A 26,887-nucleotide genomic window follows, 5' to 3' on the forward strand; every position below is an offset into this window, starting at 1 on the left:
GCTTCCAAGCATGAACTATGCGTGAGCTTATTTCAGGCTGCAAGAATGGATTAGGGAAACCAATGATGTTCTTCTGCTCAGCCCATCCCAGTGACATCAGCTGGCAGCTTAACGGTCACAACTCATCAATTTTCCTCTGCAAGCACTTTAACATGGAGTCCATCAGTTTGGCCAAGCCCCAGATTTTCTTCAGCACTTTGCACTCCCTCTCATTGGCCTGCTCCAACTCCATCTTCATGTTGCGGCACACAAGGGCTTCGGATTCCTCAAGCACAACTGGATTACATGAGGCAAACTCCGTAATTCAAATCATAACTTCCTGGGTGAAGGTCCCGGGCCAAAATACCTGGGCTACCAGACCTTTACCACAGGCTTCCTGTGTGGTCATCTTCTGCCCACTGAGCAATATCTCATTTGCAAATGCCCCTTCCATTACTTTAGGAAACAATGGTAGAACAGCCATCTGGATTCTGTCCAAAGATAGTAAAGAGCGGTGGAAACCAAGCCTTTTCATTAGTACAGACCACATTGCAAAGAGGCAATATAGATGCGCTTAGCCTAATGGCTGGGCCATTGACTACTACAATAATAGATTTCTGAAACTGTATGAAAGTATTCACAAAGTTTCTGGTAGCTTCTGCTGTTCTAGTGCTTTCTCTTTTGCTGTCATTTGTTGAATGCTATATAAAATAAATAAAGTCAAGTGCACAACAGAAGGCACTGCCAATGGCACTGAGTAGCATAAGCTTGCTGTTTTCAGCAGCGGCTGTGCTCAAAGCACTTTGGATTTCTCTTTTTTTTTTTTTTTTTTTTTTTTGAGACAGAGTCTCACTCTGTTGCCCAGGCTGGAATACTGTGGTGCCATCTCAGCTCACTGCAACCTCTGCCTCGTACCTTTCCCATTAACAACTAGGGCCCTGGTCATGGCTGTAGTCATGGGGCCAGACACCTGAGGCACTAGTGGGTGTATTCAGGGCCTGTTTCCCATCCTGACCTGCTCTATGCACAGGGGTCCAATAAAGCTCCAACTTACTATTCTCCAGCCGCTATTCTATAGCTCCAACTGGCTATTCAGTCACCACCATATTCTCCTGACCCTGCTCAACAGGGTCCAGTTTCTGGGGGCTCTTGTTCTGAAAGCCATTCTCTGTGGTCCTGCTCTTAATGGGGCTCATAAACACAAATATCTTGATACTTGACTTTGCTAGGTCAATATTCTTCCAGCTAGAGAGAGATGGAGCTGTGTTTTTCCTGAACTTCTGGGTAGCAGCAAACAACTGGCTGTTTTTAGACTCATAGTGTTTGCCAATCTCTAGTGACTTAGGAGAGGTCTTATCAAAGCTTCTGTTGGTGGATCTGGAGATTTATTTCCTAGCATTGTTTGGAGAGTGCTATTTGTTCTGGTCAGTGTGCTCTCTTTCTGCTTTTTGACGTGGTGTCTGCATTCCTCATGTTTCACGAGATGGCACTCTGGTTTCCAAGTGTGATCCTCACTGTCATAGCCCTTCCATCAAACCAAATACTCTGTCTTCCCTTCTTATTTTTCCTTTTGTCAACAATTCTTTCAGCCTGTCCTGCTCTAGTTGGTGGAGGCCAACATAATCCATTTTACTCCTTTTCCAAATCCTGTGTACCTAAACCGTCGATCACTGGAAACCAGTACTACCCAAGATAAAACTCTTCAGATCAGGAATCACAGCCATTTCCTGCCTTAGGAGAACAATGACTTAAAGCTAATTTTTCATAAAACCTTATAAATAAACAAAACCGTCCAATCTCAATCAGTTAGACCACAAGGTAAGATTTCCATAAGCCTTTAAAAAACTTTTTCAATCTTTTGTTATAGAGTGGATCGACCCTACAGAAAAGAAACAAACAAATAAAACCCTGTTAGTCTGACACAGGGGCCCAGACTCTCACATCGGTGTGCTTTTGATATTAATGCTTAACTTATAGGAAAACTAAATAATCCCTTTTACATTTTAGCCAATTTAAGCACACACAGAATTCCTTTCACAAGCTCAATTTCATAAACTTTCTATAACTTGCTTAAACCTTCAGTTTTGTCCTGTCATTGTACCTTAGGACAAAAATTTACATTCTTTTTCACCTTTCTATATTCATATAGCTTTACTTGACACTGTTTTTACTTCTTTAATTAAAAATAATAAAAATCCTCTAAACCAGGTAAAATTACTTTCCCTTTAACAAAAATCACATTTCTATGCCTTCTTATTATTTTTTTTTTATCAAAACTCATCTTACTTTCCTTATATACTTTTATAAAAAATCCAGGCTCTAAAAAAAAATGGTTACAGTAAGGCCTAAAGACAGGTGGCACTCTCCCTGGCCCAGCTATGCCTCCTGGTTCAGCTGGGAAGGGCCATGCCTTATCTGCAGCTCTGTTTTTTGTCCTGAGCTCTGCATCTGATACATAATTAAAAATGGCACCTCTTAGGTTTTTCACTAAAAATAAGAGTTGCTAAGAGTTAACATTGTAATTAATGTAAACCTGATCCAAATATATATAAATTGGAAAACTGAAACTGCCTTTGCAAAATTATAACTGAGGAAATTATGACAGTGAAAGAAATCAGACCTAACCGACTCCATCTTGCTTCTAACCTTTAAGCTGTTCTTGTTCATTCCTGGGCATAGGCCGAACTAACTTTGGGAAGGAACTCAGTTCATGGTTTGATTCTGAAACAAAATTGATAATAGTCCTTTCCAGAAAAGACCCCCTTCTTGCCTGGGAACCAGTCTGCCTAGGCAGGACTAACAAATTACCTATAAGATTAGAAAGTACAGTTTGGAGGTCATGCAGCCTCTGGTTCCAAGAATCTGAACCTCCCCAAATTGCTCCTGGGGATAACATCACTATTGTAAAACCTAAGGTGAGTGCTTGAGATATTTTACAGACTCTGCACTCCATGGATCAGCTGACACCACTCAGACCTGTAATCTGGCTCAACCAGTTCTGCCATCCCACCCAGGAACAGAAGACAGCAAGAAAAACTCACTTCGACCCCCTATGATTCCATCTCCAACCTGACCAATCACCAGCCCCCACTTCCGAAGCCCCTGCCCGCCAAATTATCTTTAAAAATTCGGATCCCCAAATGTAATAATAAAACTCCAGTCTCCCACATAGCCAGCTGTGTGTGAATTACTCTTTCTCCATTACGATTCCCCTGTCTTGATAAATTGGCTTTGTCTAGGCAGTGGGCAAGGTGAACTCATTGGACGGTTACACTTCCACAGTGTTCCTCTCTATAAGGACATTCCCCAGAGGCCAGTGAACAACCCAAGCCAATCAGCCCACTCTGTGATCAACTCATTCCCTATTTAATATATACTCCATGGTCAAGTCTTTTTTTCACAATACAAAACAATTTCTGGTACCCCCAAAAGCCAAACAGTTTAGGTAACAAAATCCAAAAGAGACTGAAGATGGCAAAGAGGAAGGAGGAACAGGGTGGAGTAAAAATAAATAGAACAATTTTTAAGAAAGGAAGTGAGCAGAAGTACCAAGCATGTAATGTTATTTTAATGTTTCAGTCAACTAAAAAATTCCTAAAAATAGAATCCAAAAAGAGAAAAAGAGTAATGGCCATATATATATATCATCTACCTTAGATATCAACTTTTAATTAAGCTGACTTCTACTCGTAGATTTGGAGTTTTGGAGTAAGCCAATTCCACTCAGATTTTTAAAATAATCCCTTCAAATCTCTTATTACCAGATTTTAGCTGGGACAAATAGCTGATATTTTTGGCTTTTGAACATCCTTACCAAAGATATCCTCTCAGTTACCTTAACCGAAGTTATAACCACAAATGCACGCACGAGGTATCTCCAAAGAGGTGACAAGTAGTTTTTACAAGATCCAGAATCACCCCAAAAATAACTAAGAGAAAGGAAACTTTCACTAGCCATAAACAGGGTCTAACCCACATTTCTTTCAGGCCATATTTTCTAGGGTCTTAGCTTTTCAGCTTACTGTCCATACATGAAGACCCAAGAGCCTTGGGTCCCCCAACACAGACAGAAGACAGGAAATCAAAAGCTGTCCACAGAAGGGGAAAAGATCAATAGTACATTGGTACCCCCAAAGCCACATAAATATTAAACCAAGACAGGCTGGTTCCCTGACCAGGAATCAAACCCATGCTGTGGAGGGTTTTAACAATTAGGCCACCAGGTGGAATGGCCATTGTTGTTCCCTAATCAGGAAGCAAACCCAAGCTGTGGTGGAAATTTTAACCACCAGAACTATTTTCGGTCAGATTTTGCTCTTAATTTAGTCAAGATAATTTTTAAGGCTAGCCATGAAACTATTAGGCTCCCTTTAAAATATCTGATCTTTTCGTTAATAGTTTAGAATAGGAGATCTCTAAAATCTTTAAATTAATAGCACAATGAGAGAGAGAACCTGGAAAGGCAGTCGTCTTATATGAAACATTTCAGATAGTCAAATTTTGATTTTTCTTAAGTGGCTGGGGTTTTTAGAGGTGGAATTTGACTTTCTACAGCTGCAGGGATTTTAGTCAGCTTTAGAGGGGGCCAGAAGTTCATTAAATCTAACGGAAGATGGACAGAAACAAACAGACAAAAAACACAAAAAAGCAATCAAACAATTTGCATAAAATTGAGATTTCTGAGCATGAGGAGAAATTATAGCCAACTGACGGTAAGCCTTGACTTTCAGCTACTAAATCCCCAAATGACACCCCAAACCAGCTCCTTACCTGGAGATGGGGCACAAGCTGAAAACTGCTCTCTGCCATCACGGAAGCAGGAAAGTCTTCTTCCTTGTTAGAAGTAAGAACTCTCAGAAAAGGAGTTCTGCAGTGGAATAAACTTCAGATCTCAACTGGAAATTTTTGAGTGATTAGGGATCTCTGGAGGGAGAAACTCTCAGACTTCAGCAAATCATCCAATAGGTCAGAGCAATAAAGAGCTCCAGCTGGTACTAGGGCCCCAGTAGGAGAGTTGCTACAGGCCAAGAGCCAACTCCACTCAGAAAGCCCCTTTGTGGTTACCAAAATGTAAACCAAAAAGTGACTGAAGCAAGTCTCCATCCATTAGAGGTTTATTTGGCCAAAGCTGAGGATGCGCCTGGGAAAAAGCATAAATTACAGATGCTCCTGTGATTTATGTTTTTTCCAAAGGGGGTTTTGTGAACTTCAGTTCACAAAAGGGGAACTGCAAGCAGCAGGGGGAAGAAAAGGAGGCAGGCAGTGAGGCAGGTGGTCACATTCTTGTGAGGCTCTTATTAGCCTCAGTAAATCTACATTTTACATGTGAAAAGAGGGAATAGAGGAAAAAGTCAATGATGCATTCTCTCACACTCAGTGAGTCTACATTTTACATAAGATGAAGCAAATGTGGAAAGAGGGAGTAGAGGAAATGAGGCTATGACATGGGGTTGTGAAATTACAGCTATCTGGGAGCCAAAGGAAGACAGTATTTGTGACTCAGCTTCTAAGCTTAACTTGCACTTTGGTATAGTGAGTTCGGGGTCCCAAGGTTCTATTTTTTTTTCATACCTGTAACTTCTGTTTCCAAAAATGTTCCCCTGTCTTTAAAAACCCTTGCTTATAAGCCACTGGGGAAGTAGGATCTCACACAATAGCTGTCTGATTTTCCTTGCTTGGCACCCTGCAAATAAATGCCCTCCTTTTTCTTGCTGCAAACTTTGGTACAGATATTTGTCTTTACTGTGCTGGGCCAATGGACCCAGGTTTGGTTCAGTAACGAGGCACTTTTCTCACTTTTAGGTACCCCCACCAACTCTATCTAAGATTCCATCACCCTCCAAGGAGCAGGACCCTTTCCCAGAGGCCCACAGCAACATATAAGCCTGGAGCTCTAATCTGACTCTAGCCTGATAATTCAAGTACCTCTGACCTAGTTTTAAAGAGCAGGGAAGTCTGCATGGTCATCTATTGAGTTTCTATTCTGTTGAGTTGGGCAGTGTTCTCAACTGACTGCCCATGAGAATCACCTAGTGTGTGGGTATTAGGGGGGAGACTTTAAAAATACCAGTACTGAGCCCCCACAGCAAGAGATTTCCATTCAACTGGTCTAGACCCAGTCCAGGCAATGACGTTTTTAGAAAACGTCCCCAGGTGGTTCTATCATACAGCCAGGTGGAGAGCCAGTGGTGATGGCTTATACTGTATGCTCTGATTTCTTCAGAGCTTTGTTTTTGATTCTCCAACCAAAATTTTGTAACTCAAAATGGTTTTCTCTCCCAGAAAACACAGCTTTTGTAAATTAAAACCCTTGTTTTTCTCTCATGAATTTCAAAGGCCTGCTTAGAAACTCAAAAGCCCAGAATCTGACTCTAAATTATCTGCAGTGTGCCTTCTGAGGCAGAAACCGGCAAGCCTGAGCCCAGCCTCACTGTGCAGTGATGATGAAGAGAGATGTTGAGTAAGAAAAAGCATTACTTAGTATGGAAAACAGCAGCTCATGTATTAAAATCATACCCATTCCCCTGAGCCTGTATCAGAAAAAATTCCAAAGAAACCAGTTCTCCCTACATCCTTTCGCCCAAGAAATCACAGCCAGAGATTTTCTTTTAATCTTACTCCCTAATAAACAAAAAGGCCCTCAGAAACTGCCTGTTTTCTTAACTGCCCAATAGTGTTCCCTAGGGAAATAAGAATTTTCTCATAAAGGTGTTAGTGATACATATTCTTCTTGAAAGAATGAAAGTTACATCAAAGTTTTTTTTTCCTGGTGTTTTTCCATTAAAGTATGGAACAGTTATCAATTTTCAGGGTACCTCATGTAGTTCAGATTTGATAAGTTATAGAGCTAATTCATTTGCATATCTATAGATTAGCATTCCATAGGGTTATTTCTTTTTACTTAGGCTATGTAGCTCAGTTGACTATGCTTGTCACTACTGATGTCAAGGTTAAGCCTTCAGTCTCCATGGGGTCTGATTAATTACCTTCGCTGTGTTTTAGCCCTTCCTAAAATATATGCATTTAGTCACCAGGGGGACCAGACAATGTAGATAGTTAGAAGTATAAAATATCCAGAGAAATTCAAGGCCTTTTCTAAGAAAAATACGTTTTTTTTTTTTGGAAGCCAAATAACTGAAATTTTGGAAAAATTCACAATTTATCTAACCCTTTCCCTAACATTTTATTTTTTTAAATTTCAAACATACAGAAAAGTTGAAAGAATTTTAAATTAGTGTCCATATACCCACCATGTAGATTCTACCATGAACATTTTGCTGTATTGCTTTATCATGCTTCTAACCATCTATTTATTCCTCTGTCTAGTAAACTTATGTTTTTGATGCATATCAAAGAAATTTGCAGAAATCAGTGTACTTTACTTCAAAACACTTTAGTATGTGCATAAGTTTTTCCTATTGGTTGTGTACCAAATTATTATATGTATGTAAGTTTTCCCTGTTGGTGCTGTACCATATTATACAAAGTGGCTTAAGACAACACGAATGTATTATGTACAATTCTGGAGGTCAAAAGTCTGAAATGGGTCATCCAGGGCTCAAATCAAGGTGTCAGCAGAGCTGCTTTTCTTCTGGAGGCTCTAGGAGAGAATCTATTTCCTTGTTTTTTGTAACTTCTAGAAGCCATTCATATCCTTAGCTTGTGGTCCCTTCCTCCATCTTCAAAGCCAGCACTAAGGCATCGTCAAGTCTCTCCATGATCTCTGCCTCTCTCTTCATAACTTCTTTGCTGACTCTGGCCCTCCTGCTTCCCTCTTACAGGGGCCCTGTGATTACATTGTGCCTACCCAGATGATCCAAGATAATCAACCCCTCTCAAGATCCTTAACTTAATCACATCTCCAAAGTCCCTTTTGTGTAAAGTAACATACTTATAGGCTCTGGGGACTAGGACATGAATATCTTGCTGGGCAGAAATTATTCATCTAATAAAGCATGCAAAATGGGTGTTTTTCATCTTTAACACCCATTGAAGATTTACAGTCAGATGAAAATTAGGAAGCTGGCCTATAAATGGGAGTGAATATTGATACAAAAAGAAGGCTAAGAACTGAGGCCTGGGGCACACTTGGAGGTCAGGAAGATGAGGAGGAACCAGAAAAGTAGCCCTGAGAGGAACAGCCAGGGAAGTAAGAAGTGGACACTCAGCAAGTGTGGAATTCTGGAAGCCAGAAGAATTTCTAAAGTTTTTCTAAAAGAGGATGATGAGCTGTATCACATGCTGCTTACAGAGCAAAGATCTGTGGTTGAGATCTAGTCACTGGTTGGGTTTAGCAAAGTGGAGATCTCTGGGTACCCTCTTGTAGTGATGTGGCCAGGGTAAGTGCCTGGTTGGAGTGGCTTCAAGGGAAAAGGAAAGAAGAGGAAGTGGAGTAGGTATAGGAGTGAACCAAGAAGAGGTGAACACATCAGAGAACTTTTTCAGGGACTTCTGATAAAAAGAAGAGCAGGGAAAGGGGTGATATCCAATGTTGTCACTATCATCATCATCAATTTGACATAGTTGCAAACATTACTCAGATCCTTTTTAGCTCCAGAAAATAAAGGAATAAAAGGATAGAAATAAAGCAAGAGCCTGCAAGTGCTTAGTTGTAAGTTGTCCTTACCACCACGATTCAACAGGGACACCACTGAAGAAATTCACAAGGCCCCGATGGCCTAAATTCTGACAATTCTATCAGCAGTCTTGACTTCTGCTCTCCTCTCCATCTTCCTTGTTTCATCCTATTTTTTCATTCTTCCCTTCCTTCCTTTATTTCACAAACATATAAGCCCCCATATCTTTGAAACTTGAATCCAGCAGAGGGATAAGTGTGAATTGACTAGCTGGAAAATTCTTTTCATTTCTTAATAAAAATCTTTCATTCTATTCTTGAGAATAAAAATATTCTTAAATTTCAAAACCAGTTGGTTGTATCTTCCAAAAACACACTCTCTGATTTAGTTGTAGACATTTATTTAAATAGTTTTACATGTAAATGTCCCTATTTCATAGTTTTTAGAAGCAATTTTTGGAGAGCAAAGTTTAGGCAGCAATATATGAACAATTTATATTATGAATTTCATTCACTTAAAAAGATAACGATTCTTTTTCCATTTTAAAAACTGCACTCAGAAATGAATGGGGAAACTTCATGAATGTTTCTGTTTTTTTTCTGGGGCTTCACATTTCTGTATTTAATTCTTTCTTGACTTTCTCAGACTCTAGAATTTTCCTTTTCTCCATTCATATACACATATCCTTTGTTCTTTTATTTACATTTCACTGTGTCTTCTCCTTAGTCTCCTTAGTCTTCTTGTAATTTCTTTGTCCCAGGTGTAGCTAAGGATGATTCACATACCTAAGAAGACTGCTTAATATTGTTCTTTTAATCATCCATCTCTGTCAACTCTTTCCTCACTATAATCCATTGTGTGAGTCTAACAATCTCATTCTCCCTTGCTAAGATAATTTTCTCACATCTTATGATTTCCTTATAATTGACTTAACAATTAAAATATTTAACTGAAAACTTCCTGGCTGAAACAAAGGAAACAGAAAGAATCTTTACAACCTTGATATTTACCTGGTAAAATGTTTTCATTTGAACACTCAGAGCATTGTATTTGGATCTGGGCACCACATCTTCAGAAGGACAATGACAAATTAAAATGTGCCCATTGGTGAGTGATCAGGAGTTTGAAAGTCATGTCATGAGTAATGAATAAAGGATATTGGGATGTCCTGTTAGGAAGTAAAATGTCTGGGGTGGGAGCAGGACGTGGGGTAGTAAGGGACAATAGAAAAAGGGAAAGCCTGGCTGGGATGAGGACTGCCACTATTGGTCAACAGGGTGGCTGTCCCAGGAGGAGAGTGACACCTGGGATGGAGGGAGGGGGAAATATCTAGAGGAGCACCAAGGGGAAAATGTGGTCTCATGAAGCTTCAGTAGAAAGGTATCTCATCCATTCCCCAAACCCACCTGGCCATGGGCTTTTGCTACTTCCCCCAGTTAGCCTCATGAGCAGAGGTGGTTGATGGTCTCAAAGGACTGACAATGAGACCACTGTAAAAAAATCTTGGGACAATTTAAGAAAAACAGTTACTGTGAAAGAATAACCACAAACAGAACAGCCTACAGCAGAAGAAGCAGACCTATTGACAGATATGAACAGGAATCTTAATACCAAATAAAACATTGCAAATATGAAACAAGAATAAGTAGTTTGAAGGAGAGCCAATCAAAGGTACTAGATATAAAAATTACAATTGCCAATATAAGGAATAGGTTGAAGAACTGAATGAATGACAAATGGGTAGAATCTAGAAACAGATCCAGATGTCCATGGGAACTTGGAATATGTATGTAGCATCATAGCCTGGTAGAGGGAAGATGAATTCATCAATAGTCCCTAGAAAACTGGTTCATCATGTGGGAAAAACTTGGAGTAGATGCCCACCTTTTTCTATATACAAAAATAAACTTTAGGTAGAGTAAAAGCCTAAACATGAAAGGCAAAGCCATACATCGGTTAGCAGCAAATGGAGAATTTTTTTTTGTGACACTGGAATGGAGAAGAATTTTGTAAGGTGCTAAAAAGTACAGACCACAAGGGAGACAATCAATGGAGTTAATGACACCAAAATTAAAGATTTCTGATACCACAAAGTTACCAGATGTGTGATAGATTTGGAGGTGACAAAGTGGTAATAACTGACAAAAAATAACTAGAATACACAGAAAACTCCTGCGAGTGGATAAGAAAAGAAAAGGATGAGGATATTGTAGGGGACCCTGCTGATGCCCTGCCCACATTCGTGGCCCATCTCTGTGTTCCCCTGCAGTTACTATCGAAGGTTCCCAGCATGCACACTGCTTCCCACCTGTGTGGGAGCCTCTCTCTTTCTCAGCCTCAAGGTTTTTTCAGGTACTGTGGGAACTTGCTTAGTTTAGGTGCAGTGCAAATGGGACAAGCTAGTGGCTGAATCTCACCAGGGGCAGCTCTCAACCAAAGAAGACCAGTGAGTAGCATATAAACAGCCTAGCTTCCCCATATCCTGGTAGGAAAATTCTGAGGCGTGTTCAACACAGGTCCTCAGAGGGTCCTCAGCAGGACTGAGCTCTGGTTGTCCACAGCAATTATCTGCCCATAACTTACCCTTTAGTGGGTTTTCTCCTTTCCTTGTCTTGCTGTCTTTACTCCCTTGCTTGTACTTCTGAATAAATGACCTGCACCCAAGTCTGTGACTGAGACCTGCTTTCCAGGTAACACAAATTAGGACAGATATGCATAAGCATTTCACAGAAGGGGAAAGTGGAAAGGCTGATAAGCGTGGGAAGAGATGCTCAACTTTCATAAGTGGAGAAATGGGCCGGGCGCAGTGGCTCATGCCTGTAATCCTAGCACTTTGGGAGGCTGAGGCGAGCAGATCACAAGGTCGGGAGATTGAGACCATCCTGGCTAACACGGTGAAATCCCGTCTCTACTAAAAATACAAAAAATTAGCCGGGCATGGTGGCACGTGCCTGTAGTCCCAGCTACTCGTGAGGCTGAGGCAGGAGAATCGCTTGAACCCGGGAGACAGAGGTTGCAGTGAGCCGAGATCGCGCCACTGCACTCCAGCCTGAGCGACAGAGCGAGACTCTGTCTCAAAATAAAAAATAAAAATAAAAATAAATAAAAATCAGAGAAATGAAAAATATATAGGGAAGTACAAATTTACCTGAAAGGTATAGAAAAAATAAAAAACCTGGATTTCCTAAAGTGCCTATGAGAATTTGGAGAGGGAGAAACCCCATCCATCACTAGTGAGACCATTCTGGAGAGCAATGAGCAATGTTTAGTGGATTTGCCTAGATGCGCACCCTATGATCTCACAAATCCTCTTCTATGTGTAGGCCCCACACAAACTCCCACACTCCCACCCTACCTGGCCTATGAATCAAACTGATCTTCAGGTAATCTTACCATATTTCTCAAGTCCATCACTGTCCTTCTCAACTTCTTTCTTCTCATATCTTCTCTTTCTTCCTCACATTCAGCTGATGACCTCACTTCTTATCGAACTGAGAATACGGAAGCAAACAGAAAAATATTTCCCCACGTTCCCATTGCCAAATCTACCAATCTACCAGTAAGTGTGCCTGTATCCTCTGCCTTCCTCCCTTCCTGACACTAACTCTTTCCATGTCTCTCATCTCCTCACGAACCATGTTCCTAGACCGTCACCACTGTCTCCTGATCATCAGTTTCTCCCACCCTGTTGGGTCATTCACACAAGTATGCTGTAGCAGTCCCCACATAGGAGGAGGAGGAGAAAGAGGGAGAGGGGCAGGAAGGGAAAGCAGAGAAGGGAGAGGAGGAAAAGGGAAGAAAAAAGGAAAGAAAACATCCCTCTTTTATACATTCCCCTTTATGTTTTGCTTCATACTTATGCTTCCCTTTACAGTAAAATGTCTCCAAAGAATTGTCTATAATTCTCAGTCTTCCCCTTTTTGAGCCCATCAACACCGCTGACATAATAGATAGTTTCCTCTGTCTTGAGGCCCTTTCTTCACTGCCCCAGGGATGCTTCTCTCTTGCTTGAGTCTTCTGTCTCATGGCATCTACTTCTCACTTTCCTTTGCTGGCTCCTCATCCCCTTTCCGGACTCCATGTGTTGCCTTGCTCCAGGGCTCAGTCCCTTACTTGTTCTCTTCTCAATCTACACTCACTCCCTGCATAAGCTTGGCTTTAAGTATCATGTATACCAGGACAACTTTCTAGTTTTATTTCCAGCACAGACCTTAATCCCAAATTCCAGAACTACCTTCTTGACAGCTCCACTTGGATGTCTGATAAGCATTTCAAACTTAAAATGTTAAAACCAAACCATTGGTTTTTCCCTGAAACCTGTTCTACCTGTTGTCTTCCTCTTAATAAATGGTACAACTTTATCTTCCCAGCTGCTCAAGTCAGAACTATTGGGGTCGCCCCTGATGCTTCTCTTCCTCCCGTTCCCCATACCCAATCCATTAACAAATCTCATTGGCTCTACTTTCAAAATATGCTGCAGTATTCCTACCCTTCTCCCACCTCCACCACCACCACTCAGTCTAAGCACCACCATCTCTGCTCAGGACAACTGCAGTGGTCTCCTAACTGGATTCTCCCTCTCATCCTTACTCTCCTGTCATCTATTCTCCACTCAGCTGCCAGAAGGATCTTTTCAAAAAGTCAGGTCTTGTCATTCTTTTCCTCAAAATCCTTCCTACTTCACTCAGAATGGATGCATCAGTCTTTACATGGCCTGGGGATGCTATCTGATTCGGCTCCACCCTATTCCTGTAGTCTCATCTCTTCCGTGCTCCCCTTCAGCCTCCCCTCACTCACTGTGCTTTAGCCTCACCCACTGCTAGTTCTGGAACACGTCTTGCACTTGCCGTTCCCTCTGCCAGGAATGCTCCTTTTCCAGATATTAGCATGGCCCACTCTCTAACTTCATTCACGTCTCTATTCAAATGTTACCACGTTCTCAGAGAGACTTTTCCTGACCACTGGATTTGAAACAGCATCCTCCATTGCTATCTGTCCTCTTATCTTGATTTATTGATTTATTTTCTTCCTTGCACTTATTATAACCTAGCATTGTATGTTTATTGTCTATTTATTTTCTTTCCATACTAAAATAAGGGAAGGGATTTTGTCTATTCCCAATTATGCTGTACTCCCAGTAGCTACTTGTCTTTAGCACAGACTGGCACCAGATAAATATATTTTGAATAAAAGAATGAACAGGCACACAAATTGAGAGCTAAGCAAAGATTTTCATCCCAGCATTTTACATGAACAAAAACTTGAAACAAGCTTCATGCCCTTCAATGAGAGAATGAAGAAATAAAATGCAGTCCAAGCAAAAAGAATGAAATGCTGTTCAGCTGTTCCAAGGAACAAACTAGAGTCATATATCCAGCTATCAAAATGGGTAGGTCTTAAAAACATAAAGTTGAGAGGAAAAAGTAATAAGGAAGATGAAATAAAGAGTATAATACTGATGAATACTAGGATAAGAAATGGGAAATAAAAGGAAGACATTTTTAAATAAAATAAATAATACAAGAAAATAAAATAAAGACTCTTCCATAAACCAACAATGATAGAGTGTTATGAACTAAGTTGAACTGTATGTTTAAGGTTTAAAAATAATGTATGTTGAAAAAAATAAGAGTTGCCTTGGGAAGTACTTACTTAACTGGAAAATATGGGATGGGATTCCTAAGAGCTGTAGGTGAGAGCAGTGGGGTCTGATCCCATCAGGGAAGGCTTTGTGGAAGCAGGGAGACTTGAGGTGTTCCTTGAAGGATGAAAATGATATAAGCAATGTAAGCAAAGAGCAGTAGCAAGACATTCTAGTGGGCCCCAGAAGTCTGGAAGTAGGAAAGCTGGATATAGACCTATCAGCCTCAGGAGATGGCTCACAGTGTAGGGGAAGGGGTAGAAGACAAAAAGATAAAATTGAACACACTCACTAAGATCAGATGGTAGAATGCCTTGGCTAACACTAAGGAATTTGGACTTGATTCTAACATTGGTGATACTACTTTTGTGTAACACTTGCCCAGTGTCACACAACTATTAAAGTGGAAGCCAACATTTGACTTCCAGCAGTCTGATTCCAGAATTCTCACTTTTAACTGCCATGCTTAACTTCTTTCAGTGAGCATCAGGAATCCAGTCAAGGGTTTTGAGAATTGCAAGGTAATGCACAAGGGATTTTAGCAGGTGGGTTCACTAGAAGTGTGCAGAATGGCTTGCATGAGGCAAAGACTGGAGGCGAGCAGTCTGTGAGGAGGGGAGTATGACAATGTCCACGTGAGCTGATAAGACACTGACTAGCGTGCTGCCAGGGAGATGGGACAGGGAGGGGCCGATAAGGTAGAACCAATGGGGTTGACTAATCAGACAGCTCACAGATTAGTTTTGTGGCCCTCCTGTGTGCTAGGCATTTGTCTGGGCTCTGAGGACAGTGTAGTGAAAGAGATGAACACAGATAATTAACTACTAGTAAGCATGCACACTACTGCCAGGTAAAAGGAATGCAAAGGTCCAACCTAAAGCAGAAGGAGAGTGGTCTTTGTATTTAATTAGAGCTCTTCTTATTAAAATAACAAATGTTAAGCATGAAGTAGTCTTAATGTTTCATACCTTTGAAAAAAATAATTCTGAAAAAAAATCACTGGTTTAGAATTTCTTTCTATAACCAAAAAGGTAGAATATGTGCCTTTTAAAAATGGATTCCCGGCCGGGCGCGGTGGCTCACGCCTGTAATCCCAGCACTTTGGGAGGCCGAGGCGGGTGGATCACGAGGTCAGGAGATCGAGACCATCCCGGCTAAAACGGTGAAACCCCGCCTCTACTAAAAATACAAAAAATTAGCCGGGCGTAGTGGCGGGCGCCTGTAGTCCCAGCTACTCGGGAGGCTGAGGCAGGAGAATGGCGTGAACCCGGGAGGCGGAGCTTGCAGTGAGCCGAGATCCCGCCACTGCACTCCAGCCTGGGCGACAGAGCGAGACTCCGTCTCAAAAAAAAAAAAAAAAAAAAAAAAAATGGATTCCCTTTTCAAGTTAATCATCTTTATCTGAAAATGCAAAGAAGATGGCTTAATGGTCATCGAATTGACAGATGTAACTGGAACTCTAATCTGGTTCTATGATGCACAATTATACAGAAATGTAAGATCTGAGTTTGTGGATATGAATGTGTTATCTTCAAGCAGGTTTTAGAAGTCAGAATGAGCAGAAATTTTAACTCAAAGATCAAAAGTACAAATCAACAAAATTCATCCCCAGGCAGAGGTTGCACAAGATGTAGCAATTTTTTATGAATATTTATATATTCACATGAATCATAGTTTACTTGCCTTATTTAGTAAGTTATTTGACCCTCTTAGGCATTCTTTTATTCATGAAATGTAATTGCACTGCCATCAAAATGACTATAATATCTGATATCTATGCAGACATTTATCTTCAGTTTTTGTTTTTAACTTTTGTTTTAAGTTTAGGGGTACATGTGCAGGTATGTTACATAGGTAAACTTGTGTCATGGGGGTTTGTTGTACAGATTATTTCATCACCCGGGTATAAAGCTTAGTAACCAATAGTTATTTTTCCGGATCCTCTCTCTTCTCCCACCCTCCACACTTCAGTATGCCCCAGTGTGTGTTGTTCCCTTCTATGTGTCCATGTGTTTTCATCATTTAGTTCCCATTTATAAGTAAGAACATGTGGTATTTGGTTGTCTGTTCCTGTGTTAGTTTGCTAAGGATCATGGCCTCCAGCTCCATCCATGTTCCTGGCAAAGAACATGATCTTGTTCTTTTTTACCACTGCATAGTTTTCCATGGTGTATATGTACCACATTTTCTTTATCCAGTCTATCATTCATGGGCATTTAGGTTGATTTCATGTCTTTGCTGCTGTGAAGAATGCTGCAATGAATATATGCATGCAGGTGTCTTTAAATTTTATTTTACTTTAAGTCTGGGATACATGTGCTGAATGTGCAGGTTTGTTACATAGGTATACATGTGCCCGTCATCTAGGTTTTAAGCCCTGCATGCATTAGATATTTGTCCTAATGCTCTCCCTCCCTTTGCACCTCCCACCCCGACAGGCCCCAGTGTGTGATGTTCCCCTCCGTGTGTCCATGTCTTCTCATTGTTCAACTCCCACTTATGAATGAGAACATGCAGTGTTTGCTTTTCCGTTCCTGTGTTAGTTTGCGGAGGATGATGGTTTCCAGCTTCATCCATGTCCCTGCGAAGGTCATGAACTCATTCTTTTTTATGGTTGCATAGTATTCCATGGTGTATATGTACTGCATTTTCTTTATCCAGTCTATCATTGATGGGCATTTGGGTTGGTTCCAAGTCTTTGCTATTGTAAATAGTGCTGCAATAAACATATGTACAAAAACCATAGAAGAAAACCTAGGCAATACCATTCAGGACACAGACTTCATAGGCATAGACTTCATGACTAAAACACCAAAAGCAATTGCAACAAAAACCAAAATTGATAAATGAGATCTAATTAAACTAGAGAGCTTGTGCTCAGCAAAAGAAACTATCATCAGAGTGAACAGGCAACCTACAGAATGGGAGAAAATTTTTGCAATCTATCCATCTGACAAATGTCAAGTATCCAGAATCTACAAGGAACTTAAATAAATTTACAAGAAAAAAACAAACAACCCCACCAAAAAGTGGGCAAAGGATATGAACAGGCACTTCTCAAAAGAAGACATTTATGTGGCCAACAAACATATGAAAAAAAGCTCATCATCACTGGTCATTATAGAAATGCAAATCAAAACCACAATGAGATGCCATCTCATGCCAGTTAAAATGGCAGGTGTCTTTATAATAGAATGATTTATATTCCCTTGAGTATATACCCAGTAATGGGATTATTGAGTTGAATGGTATTTCTGTCTTTAGGTCTTTGAGGAATCACCACACTGTCTTCCACAACGGTTGAACTAATTTACACCCCCACCAACAGTGTATAAGCATTCCTTTTTCTTCACAATGTTGCCAACGTCTGTCATTTTTGACTTTTTATTAATAGCCATTTTGGCTGGTGTGAGATGGTATCTCATTGTGGTTTTGATTTGCATTTCTCTAGTGATCAGTGATGTTGAGCTTTTTTTCATATGATTGTTGGCCACATGTATGTCTTCTTTTGAAAAGTGTCTGATCATGTCCTTTGCCCACTTTGTAATGGGGTTGTTTGTTTTGTTCTTATAAATTTGTTTAAGTTCCTTATAGATGATGGATATTAGACCCTTTGTCATATACATAGTTTGCCAAAATTTTCTTCCATCCCATAGGTTATCTGTTTACTCTGTTGATAGTTTCTTTTGCTGTGCAGAAGCTCTTTAGTTTAATTAGATCTCATTTGTCAATTTTTGCTTTTACTGCAATTGCTTTTGGTGTCTTTGTCATGAAATTTTTTCTTGTGCCTATGTCCTGAATGGTATTGCCTAGGTTGTCTTCCAGGGTTTTTATAATTTTGGGTTTTACATTGAAGTCTTTAATCCATCTTAAGTTAATTTTTGTATAGGGTGTAAGGAAGGGGTCCAGTTTCAATCTTCTGCGTATGGCTAGCCAGTTATTCCAGCACCATTTATTGAATAGGTAATCCTTTCCCCATTGCTTGTTTTTGTCAGGTTTGTTGAAGATCAGATAGTTGTAGGTTTATGGTCTTATTTCTGGGTTCTCTTTTCTGTTCCATTAGTTTAGATGTCTGTTTTTATACAAGTACTATGCTGTTTTGGTTACTGTAACCTGGTAGTATAGTTTGAAGTTGGGTAGTATGATGCCTCCAGCTTTGTTCTTTTTGCTTAGGATTGCCTTGGCTGTTTGGGCTTTTTTTGCTTACATATGAATTTTAAATAGTTTTTTCTAGTTCTGTGAAGAATCTCAATGGTAGTTTAAAGGAATAGTATTGAATTTATAAATTGCTTTGGGCAGAATTTATAAATTGCTTTGGGCCATCTTAACAATATTCTTTCTATCCATGAGCACGGAATGTTTCTCCATTTGTTTGTATCATCTCTTTTTCTTTGTGCAGTGGTTTGTAGTTCTCTTTGTAGAGATCTTTCACTCCTCTAGTTAGCTGTATTGCTAGATATTTTATTCTTTTGTGGCAGTTGTAAATGGGTGTTAGTTCCTGATTTGGCTCTTGACTTGACTATTGTTGGTGAATAAGAATGCTAGTGATTTTGGTGATTTTAGCACATTGGTTTTTGTATCCTGAGACTTTGCTGAAGGTGTTTATCAGCTTAAGAAGCTTTTGATGGAGACTATGAGGTTTTCTAGATATAGGAACATGCTGTCTGCTGAGATAATCTGACTTCCTCTCCTCCTATTTGGATGACCTTTATTTCCTTCTCTTGCCTGACTGTCCTGGCCAATACTTCCAATACTATGTTGCATGGGAGTGTTGAGAGAGGGCATCCTTGCCTTGCACTGGTTTTCAAAGGGAATGCCTCTAGCTTTTGCCCACTCAGTATGATGTTGGCTGTGGGTTTTTCATATATGACTTTTATTATTTTGAGATATGTTCCTTCAATACTTAGTTTATTGAGAGCTTTTAACATGAATGAATGTTGAGTGTTGAATTTTGTTGAAAGCCTTTTCTGCATCTATTGAGATAATTATTTGGTTTTTGTCTTTAGGTCTGTTTATGTGATGAATCACATTTATTGATTTGCATATGCTGAGTCACCTTGCATCCTGGGGATAAAGCCTACTTGATCGTGGTGGATAAGCTTTTTGATGTACTGCTGGATTCAGTTTGCCAGTATTTTGTTGAGGATTTTTGCATTGATATTCATCAAGGATATTGGCCTGAAGTTTTCTTTTTTTGTTGTATCTCTGCCAGGGTTTTATATCAGGATGATGCAGGCCTCATAGAATGAGTTAGGGAGGAGTTCCTCCTCCTCAGTTTTTGGGAATAGTTTCAGTAGGAATGGTACTAGCTCTTCTTTGTGCACCTGGTAGAGTTCAGCTGTGAATCTGTCTAGTCTTGGGCTTTTTTTGGTTGGTAGGCTGTTTACTGCCTCAGTTTGAGAGCTCATTATTGGTCTGTTCAGGGACTCAATTTCTTCCTGGTTCAGTCTTGGAAGGGTATATGTGTCCAGGAATGTAACAATTTCTTCCATATTTTCTAGTTTATATGCAAAAAGGTGTTCATAATATTTTCTGATGGTGGTTTGTATTGCTGTGGGATCAGTGCTAATATCTCCCTTCTCCCTTGTTGTTTCTGATTGTGTTTATTTGGATCTTCTCTCTCTTCTTCTTTATTAGTCTAACTAGTAGTATATTTTATTATTTTTTTAAAAAAACCCTAGCTCCTGGATTCATTGATCTTTTTAATGGCTTTTCATGCTTCAATGTTCTTCAGTTCAGTTCTGATTTTGGTTATTTCTTGTCTTCTGCTAGCTTTGGAATTTGTTTGCTCTGGGTTCTCCAGTTATTTTAGTTGTGATGTTAAGTTGTTAACTTGAGATCTTTCTAACTGTTTGATATGGGCATTTAGTGCCATAAATTTCCCTCTTAACACTACCTTAGCTGTGTCCCAGAGATTCTGATATGTAGTATCTTTGCTCTCATTAGTTTCAAAAAACTTCTTGATTTCTGCCTTAACTTCATTATTCAAAAGTCGTTCAGGAGCAGGTTATTCAATTTCCATGTAATTGCATAGTTTTGGGTGAATTTCTTAGTCTTGATTTCTAATTTGATTCTGCTGTAGTCCAAGAAACTGTTATAATTTCAATTCTTTTGCATTGCTGAGGAGTGTTTTACTTCCGATTATGTGACTGATTTTAGAGCATGTGTCATGTGGTAATAAGAATGTATATTCTGTTGTTTTTGGGTGGAGAGTTCTGTAGATATCTGTCAGGTCCGTTTGATCCAGTGCTGAGTTTAGGTCCTGCATATCTTTGTTAATTTTCTGTCTTGATGATCCATTGTCAGTAAGGTTTTAAAATCTCCCACTGTTATTGCATGGGAATCTAAGTTTCTTTGAGGGTCTTTAAGAACTTGCTTTATAAATCTGGTTGCTCCTGTGTTGGGTGTATATATATTTAGGACAGTTAGGTCTTGTTGAATTGAACCCTTTACCATTATGTAATGCCCTTCTTTGTCTCTTTTGATCTTTGTTGGTTTAAAGTTTGTTTTGTCAAAAACTAGGATTGCTACTCCTACTTTTTTTCTGTTTCCTATTTGCTTGGTAGATTTTTCTTCTTATTTTGAACCTATGTATTTCATTGCATGTAAGATGGATCTCTTGAAGACAGCATACCAGTGGGTCTTGGTTCTTTATCCAGCTTGTCACTCTGCATCTTTTAATTGGGGCCTTTAGCCCATTCACATTTAAGGTTAATATTGATATGTGTGGATTTGATCCTGTCATCATGATGCTGGCTGGTTATTTTGCACACTTGTTTATGTGGTTGCTTTGTAGTCTCACTGGTCTGTGTACCTCAGTGTGTTTTTGTAGTGGCTGATAACAGTCTTTCCTCTTCATATTTAGTGTTTCCTTCAGAAGCTCTTGTAAGGCAGGTCTGGTAGTAACAAATTCCAGCATTTGCTTGTCTGAAAAGAACTTATTTCTCCTTTGCTTATGAAGCTAAGTTTAGCCAGATATGAAATTCTGGCTTAGAAATTCTTTAAAGAATGTTACTATTGGTCACTGATCTCTTCTGGCTTGTGGGGTTTTAGCTGAGTGGTCTGTTGTTAGACTAATGGGCTTCACCTTGTAGGTGTCCTGGCCTTTCTCTCTAGCTTCTTTTAACATTTTTTCTTTCTTTTCAACCTTGGAGAATCTGAGGATTATGAGTCTTGGAGATAATCGTCTTGTGAGGTATCTTACTGGCGTTCTCTGCATTTCCTGAATTTGCATGTTGCCCTCTCTAGCTAGGATGGGGAAGTTCTCATGGATGATATTCTAACATGTTTTCCAAGTTGGTTCCATTCTTCCCATGTCTTTCAGTTACACCACTAAGTCATAGATTCAGTCTATTTACATAATCCCATATTTCTCAGAGGTTTGGTTCATTCCTTTGCATTATTTTTTCTCTACTCTTGTCTGCCTGTCTTATTTCAGAAAGCCAGTCTTCAAGCTCTGAGATTCTTTCCTCCACTTGGTCTATTCTGCTATTAATACTTGCATTATGAAGTTCTTACAGTGGGTTTTCCAGCTCTATCAGGTCAGTTACATTCTTCTCTATACTAGCTATTTTGTTTGTTAGCTCCTGCAATGTTTCATCATAATTTTTAGCTTCCTTGCACTGGGTTTCAATGTACTCCTGTAGCTCAATGAACTTATAACTATTTATATTCTGGATTCTACTTCTGTCATTTCAGCCATCTCAGCCTCAGCCCAGTTCCAAACCCTTGCTGAAGAGGTGATGAGGTCATTTGGAGGAAAGAAGGCACTCTGGCTCTTTCAGTTTTCAGCATTCTTGTGCTGATTCTTTCTCATCTGTCAGGGCTTATCTACCTTTAATCTTTGAGGTTGCTGACCTGTGGATGGGTTTTTTTTTCTTTTATCCTATTTGGTGACCTTGAGGGTTTGATTGTGATATATGGTGTATTCAGCCAACTGGCCTCATTTCTGGGAGATTTTAGGGGGCCAATACTCAGTCCCCAACTCCTAGACTGTGAGCTCTAACTCTGAGGGACTTGTATTGGGTCCCAACTTTGTCCTCTGGCTCCTCAAGGTTTGGAGTCCACTGTGCTGGGGGGTGGGCTGAGGTGCAGCAGCTTTAACAGAGTGCCAGTGGACGTGGGGGTGCCTGTCTCCCTGGGGGAATTTACCACAGTGGAGGAGGCAAGGCAGCTGGGGACTCTGTGTGCTGTTGCACTGGAGGTGGTGCTGGCTTGGGGCAAGGTGCTGGCCAGCACAGGTCTGGGTGCCTTCTTTGCCCTGCAAACAGGAGTAATAGCTCAGGGGGTGGGAGGATCCCCTGTTCTCTGCACAGTGTTAGCACAAGGGCAGGGTACTGGCAGTGGTGGGGTTTCCTGGCTTGGTGCCCACCAAGGCTCTGTCTACAATGGTGGTCAGTGGAGGGTTGGGGATGCTACACACCTGTGTGCTGGTTGGGCAAGCAAAGCAAAACCTGACCATGCAGACGTGCATGAACAAAGTGATCTGGAGAGTAGCCATGGGCTCAGGGGAAGTTCCAGTACGGAGAGGGAACATGTGGACTGGTGCACGGCTGTAAGGGCCGCCTTGCTGGAGCTCTCCAGCAAGCTCTCCATGGTCTGCCAGCATAGAAGCTATGTTGTGGGCCCCCAGGGCATCCAAGACTTCCCTGTAAGCATATGTGGTCAGGCTGGGCCCTGGGAGTGGCCAACAGACCAAGGAGTGCTCAGGTCAGACCAGCCCCATCTGATGTGCAAGACCATTCTGCAGAGATCAGGTCAAATAGTTTCCCTAGGGCTAAAGTCTCTTATGAGAGCAATTTGAGCCTAGAGGGATGGCTGTTCCTGGCTATGCTCCACTACAGACACCCCTGCACCAAACCACCTGTGCTCCACATCAGCTGGCTAGCTGCCCCACCACTTTGCTTGTCTCCTGGGGGCTCTACCCCAGAGAGATGTGGGTCAGCAATTGCTCAGTGCAATCAGCCCAGGATGGAGGATCTGTGCCATGGACCTAAGCTAGGGGTTCCCTGTCTGGCGATGAGCAGTGGGGTTGTGTGGGACCCGGGGGAGATGGACCAGCCTCCTTTCCTTGGGTCAACTGCAACTTGTTGGACGTGTGGATAATGCACTGAGGGTCTTTGCTTCTTTGTTAGTCCAAGGGTAGCAAGGACAGTTCCACCACAGAGGCCGTGTCAGAGAAGCTTTCAGTTGTCCCTGGAAACACTGTCTGGGGAGTTGCTGAGTTGCTACTGGCTTGATAGCTCTGATAGGGGGTGGCTAGAGGCCCAGGACCAGGCCTGGAGGACCTACCTATTGAGGAGATACAGGAACAGGCACCCATATAACAGTCTGGCCACTTTTCTGTAGGGCTACTGTATGTAGTATGCTGGGAGTCCTCTCCAGTTCCTAGTCCCCTTGGAATTTCCAGTACCTGGAGGCATCACCAGTGAAGGCTATGAAACAGCAAAGATGGCAGCCTGTCTCTCCTTCTGGGAGCTCCATCCTAAGGAGGTATAGACCTTTTGCCAGCCTGAACACACCTGTAGGACGTGGCTGAAGACCCAGTTGGGAGGTCTCACCCAGTGAAGAGAAATGTGGTTGGGGATCTGCTTAAAAAAGAAGTCTGGCCACATTTTCACAGAGCAGCTGTGCTGTGCTTGGGGTCTGCTTCAGGCCTCAGTCATCTTAGACACTCCAAAGCCCAAAGGCTGGAATGGCCAAATTGCCCAAACAGCAAAGATGGCGGCCCACCCCTCCCTCTGGGAGCTTTGTCCCAGAGAGGTTTGAAACCTCTGTCAGCTGGAGAACACTGTCTGGGGTGCCTGGAGGTCCCAGTCGTGAGGTCTTATCAAGTGAGGAGGAACAAGATGGAGGACCCACTTAAAGAAGCAGTCTGGTCACGTTTTTGTAGAGCAGCTGTGCTCTGCTGGGGTACCACTTCCTCTCCTGGTTGGCTTGGACTCTCCAAAGCCCGAAGGCTGGAATGGCTAAGTCACCCAAACAGCAAAGATGGCGGCTTGCCCCTCTGCCTCTGGGAGCTCCACCCCAGGAGGTTTTCAAAACTCTGTTGGCTGGAGAACACTGGAGAGGGTGGCTGGAGACCACAAGTTGGGAAGTCTTATGTAGTGAGGAGGAACAAGATTAGGGAACCAATTTAAAAAGCAGTCTGGCCATGTTTTCATAGAGCAGCTGTCCTATGCTGGGGGATCCCTTCTGCCTCTGGACAGCTTGGACTCTCTGAAGGCTGGAATGGCTAAGTCACCCAAACAGCAAAGATGGCAGCCCACCCCTCCCCCTGGAAGCCCCTTCTTAGGGAGGTGCAGTGCCACTACTGGTGGCTGGCTGGAATGCCAAGCCAGTGGGACTTATCCTGAGAGGAGTAGTGGAAGTAGAGCCTGCAGACTGTTGCTTCTCAGTCCCCTCTTTCCTAGGGGTACAGAGGTATAACCTCTTTCCTAGGGGTACAGAGGTATAACCTCCTGCTTTGCCAGAGTTGCAGCTGCTCTTGCCAGGAAGCCCAGAGAGTGCAAGTATCTAAGGCTCCTGGGTCTCCATGCATGCCCCTGACCAGAGCAGCTGCATTGCTGAGACTCCACATAGCTCTATGTGTCAGACTAAAGGCTCTGGTGGAGTGGGTTCACAAGGGGATCTCCTGACCTGAGGGTTGCAAAGATCTGTGGGAGAAGCATGGGTTCCCGAGGTTGCATATTCAGTCACTGCTTCCCTGGGGAGGCGGGGTTCCCTTGGCTCCATGTTGCTCCTGGGGTGGGGCATCATCTTGTCTTGCTTTTCTCCACGGCCCTGTATGGCATGAGAAATGTTTGGCCCTGTAAGGCATGGCCCTGTATGGCATGGGATGGTTCCCTATGCACCCAAGGAGTTCCTGGAACTCACTGAAAGGGCTGGGCTCAAAGGATCCCTTAGTCACAAATGAGGGACCCAGACAGAATAAATGTCTCCACAGATATTAGTGTGGGAGGATAATGGCTGAGACCAGATGCCTGCTTCCACCAGTATCTTGACCCAATGAAGCCCACCTTCCCCCATTGCCCCTTAGACACAGGAGGATACCCATCCGGATTGAGGAAAGTAAGTTTCCACTGCCTGGCACAATAAGGCCTCAATTAAAAATTTAAGTGAATTGTAGAGAATATGGAGAAACAAACTTCGGTTTGTAAATGGAAATATAATTATAATACAGATCTATCTATATCTAAATGCTAGATACAGAGATCTATATCTCTGTATGCTGTATGCTCTGATCTATATGCTATACATAATTAATTTCTGTTTGTCCAGATGAATAGTAAGTGCCATCAGAGTAGGTATATCAGTAAAGGAATGTTTTGGCTAGAATAAAAGAAAACATGGGCTGGGTGCATTGGCTAACGCCTGTAATCCCAACACTTTGGAAGGCCGAGGTGGGCTGATTACTTGAGTCCAGGAGTTCGAGACCAGCCTGGGCAACATGGAGAAATCCCATCTCTACAAAAAATACAAAAATTAGCTGGGTATTGTGGCACATGCCTGTGGTCCCAGCTACTCAGGAGGCTGAGGCAGGAGAATCACTAAGCTCATGAGATTGAGGCTGCAGTGAGCCAAGATCACACCACTGCACTCCAACCAGGGCGACAGAGTGAGACCCCATCTAAAAAACAAAAAACAAAAAACATGACCCCCAAAACTTAAAGAATTGGAGGTTTTTATTTTTCACATGACAATAAGTTTGGTAGTGGGCAGTTGCTGACTGCTCAATGATGTCAGGGACAGCATCTTTACTGTTTTCTTCATGTCTGTATTATTTTCCCTTGTGGTTGCTCCAATGCTCCATCCATCACACCTGCATTCAAGGCAGAAAGAGAAAGGTCTGGCTGAAGCTGTACTTGTCTCCCTTTATGAGGAAAGTCATGGCTTTCCCAGAAGTCCCCCAGCAGACTTTTCTTTATATCTCAATGGCAAGTACTCAGCACCGTGCACATCTCAAATGGTAATTGAGGATTTAAGGTGAAAATTGAATATAGTTAAAATTGCCCTTGAATAGTTCCTTAGGATTTTGCCATGTTGGAGAGCAGCCTGCTGGAAGCCTACACTTCTTTTAGAAGCCCACACTGTCATTTCTACCACAACATTGGAACAGATCTTTATTTCAGCAGGTGAAATAGCTGGTATTAGGTGTTGTAGCATTTAAACAGTAGGATTTTTAAACAAAGGGATTACACTCAATGCAGCAAGATACTTTTACTCTGAGAGAAATATGGAACCCCCACCCCAAGCTCATTAAATAAACTGGCAGATAGAAATGATCTCACTATTTAGATTGTTGTCCACATGTTATGAAGCACATGGTGTAGAGGAGTGGTTAAGAGTCTGTCCACTGGAAACAGACTGAAAGCCTGCTCCATCACTGACTAGCTTGTGCTGTGACCTTAGGCAACTTATTTAACCTCTCTGTGGCTCAGTTTCCCATCTGTGAAATGAGGAAAATAATACAACCAACCTCATAGAGGTTATTGTGAGACATAAATGAGTTAATAAAGGTAAAGCCCATGTGTCTGACTCATGCTAAATGCTATAGAACATTTAGGTATTATTACTGTTATTGTTCCTGTTATTCCACAGTTGCATATACTCCTGCTAAATATGCACAAGATGCTACTCTAGAGAGGAAAGCATTCAATCAAGATTTGTTGAATTAATAAATAAACTATAA

General features: G+C 41.6%; 2 pseudogenes, besides 3 other annotated features; both read right to left on the reverse strand.

Annotated features, from left to right (window-relative positions):
* LOC124905414 (chromodomain Y-like protein) lies at nucleotides 116-25,968 on the reverse strand (annotated as a pseudogene).
* On the reverse strand, nucleotides 119-803 carry CDYLP1 (CDYL pseudogene 1; annotated as a pseudogene).
* Nucleotides 3,947-4,448: an enhancer, noted in NCBI's record as "NANOG hESC enhancer chr3:16738083-16738584 (GRCh37/hg19 assembly coordinates)". NCBI's record gives its function as "activates a minimal SCP1, AML or CMV promoter by ChIP-STARR-seq in naive H9 embryonic stem cells {active_cell/tissue: H9 hESC(naive)}" and the evidence as "EXISTENCE:reporter gene assay evidence [ECO:0000049][PMID:30033119]".
* Nucleotides 5,086-5,135: an enhancer, noted in NCBI's record as "active region_19553". NCBI's record gives its function as "activates an Ori minimal core promoter by ATAC-STARR-seq in GM12878 lymphoblastoid cells {active_cell/tissue: GM12878}" and the evidence as "EXISTENCE:reporter gene assay evidence [ECO:0000049][PMID:35858748]".
* Nucleotides 5,667-6,314: an enhancer, noted in NCBI's record as "H3K4me1 hESC enhancer chr3:16739803-16740450 (GRCh37/hg19 assembly coordinates)". NCBI's record gives its function as "activates a minimal SCP1, AML or CMV promoter by ChIP-STARR-seq in primed H9 embryonic stem cells {active_cell/tissue: H9 hESC(primed)}" and the evidence as "EXISTENCE:reporter gene assay evidence [ECO:0000049][PMID:30033119]".
* Nucleotides 25,969-26,887: the final 919 nt, after the last annotated feature.

This window comes from Homo sapiens, chromosome 3, assembly GCF_000001405.40.
Source record: "Homo sapiens chromosome 3, GRCh38.p14 Primary Assembly".
Taxonomy (NCBI): Eukaryota; Metazoa; Chordata; class Mammalia; order Primates; family Hominidae; genus Homo; species Homo sapiens.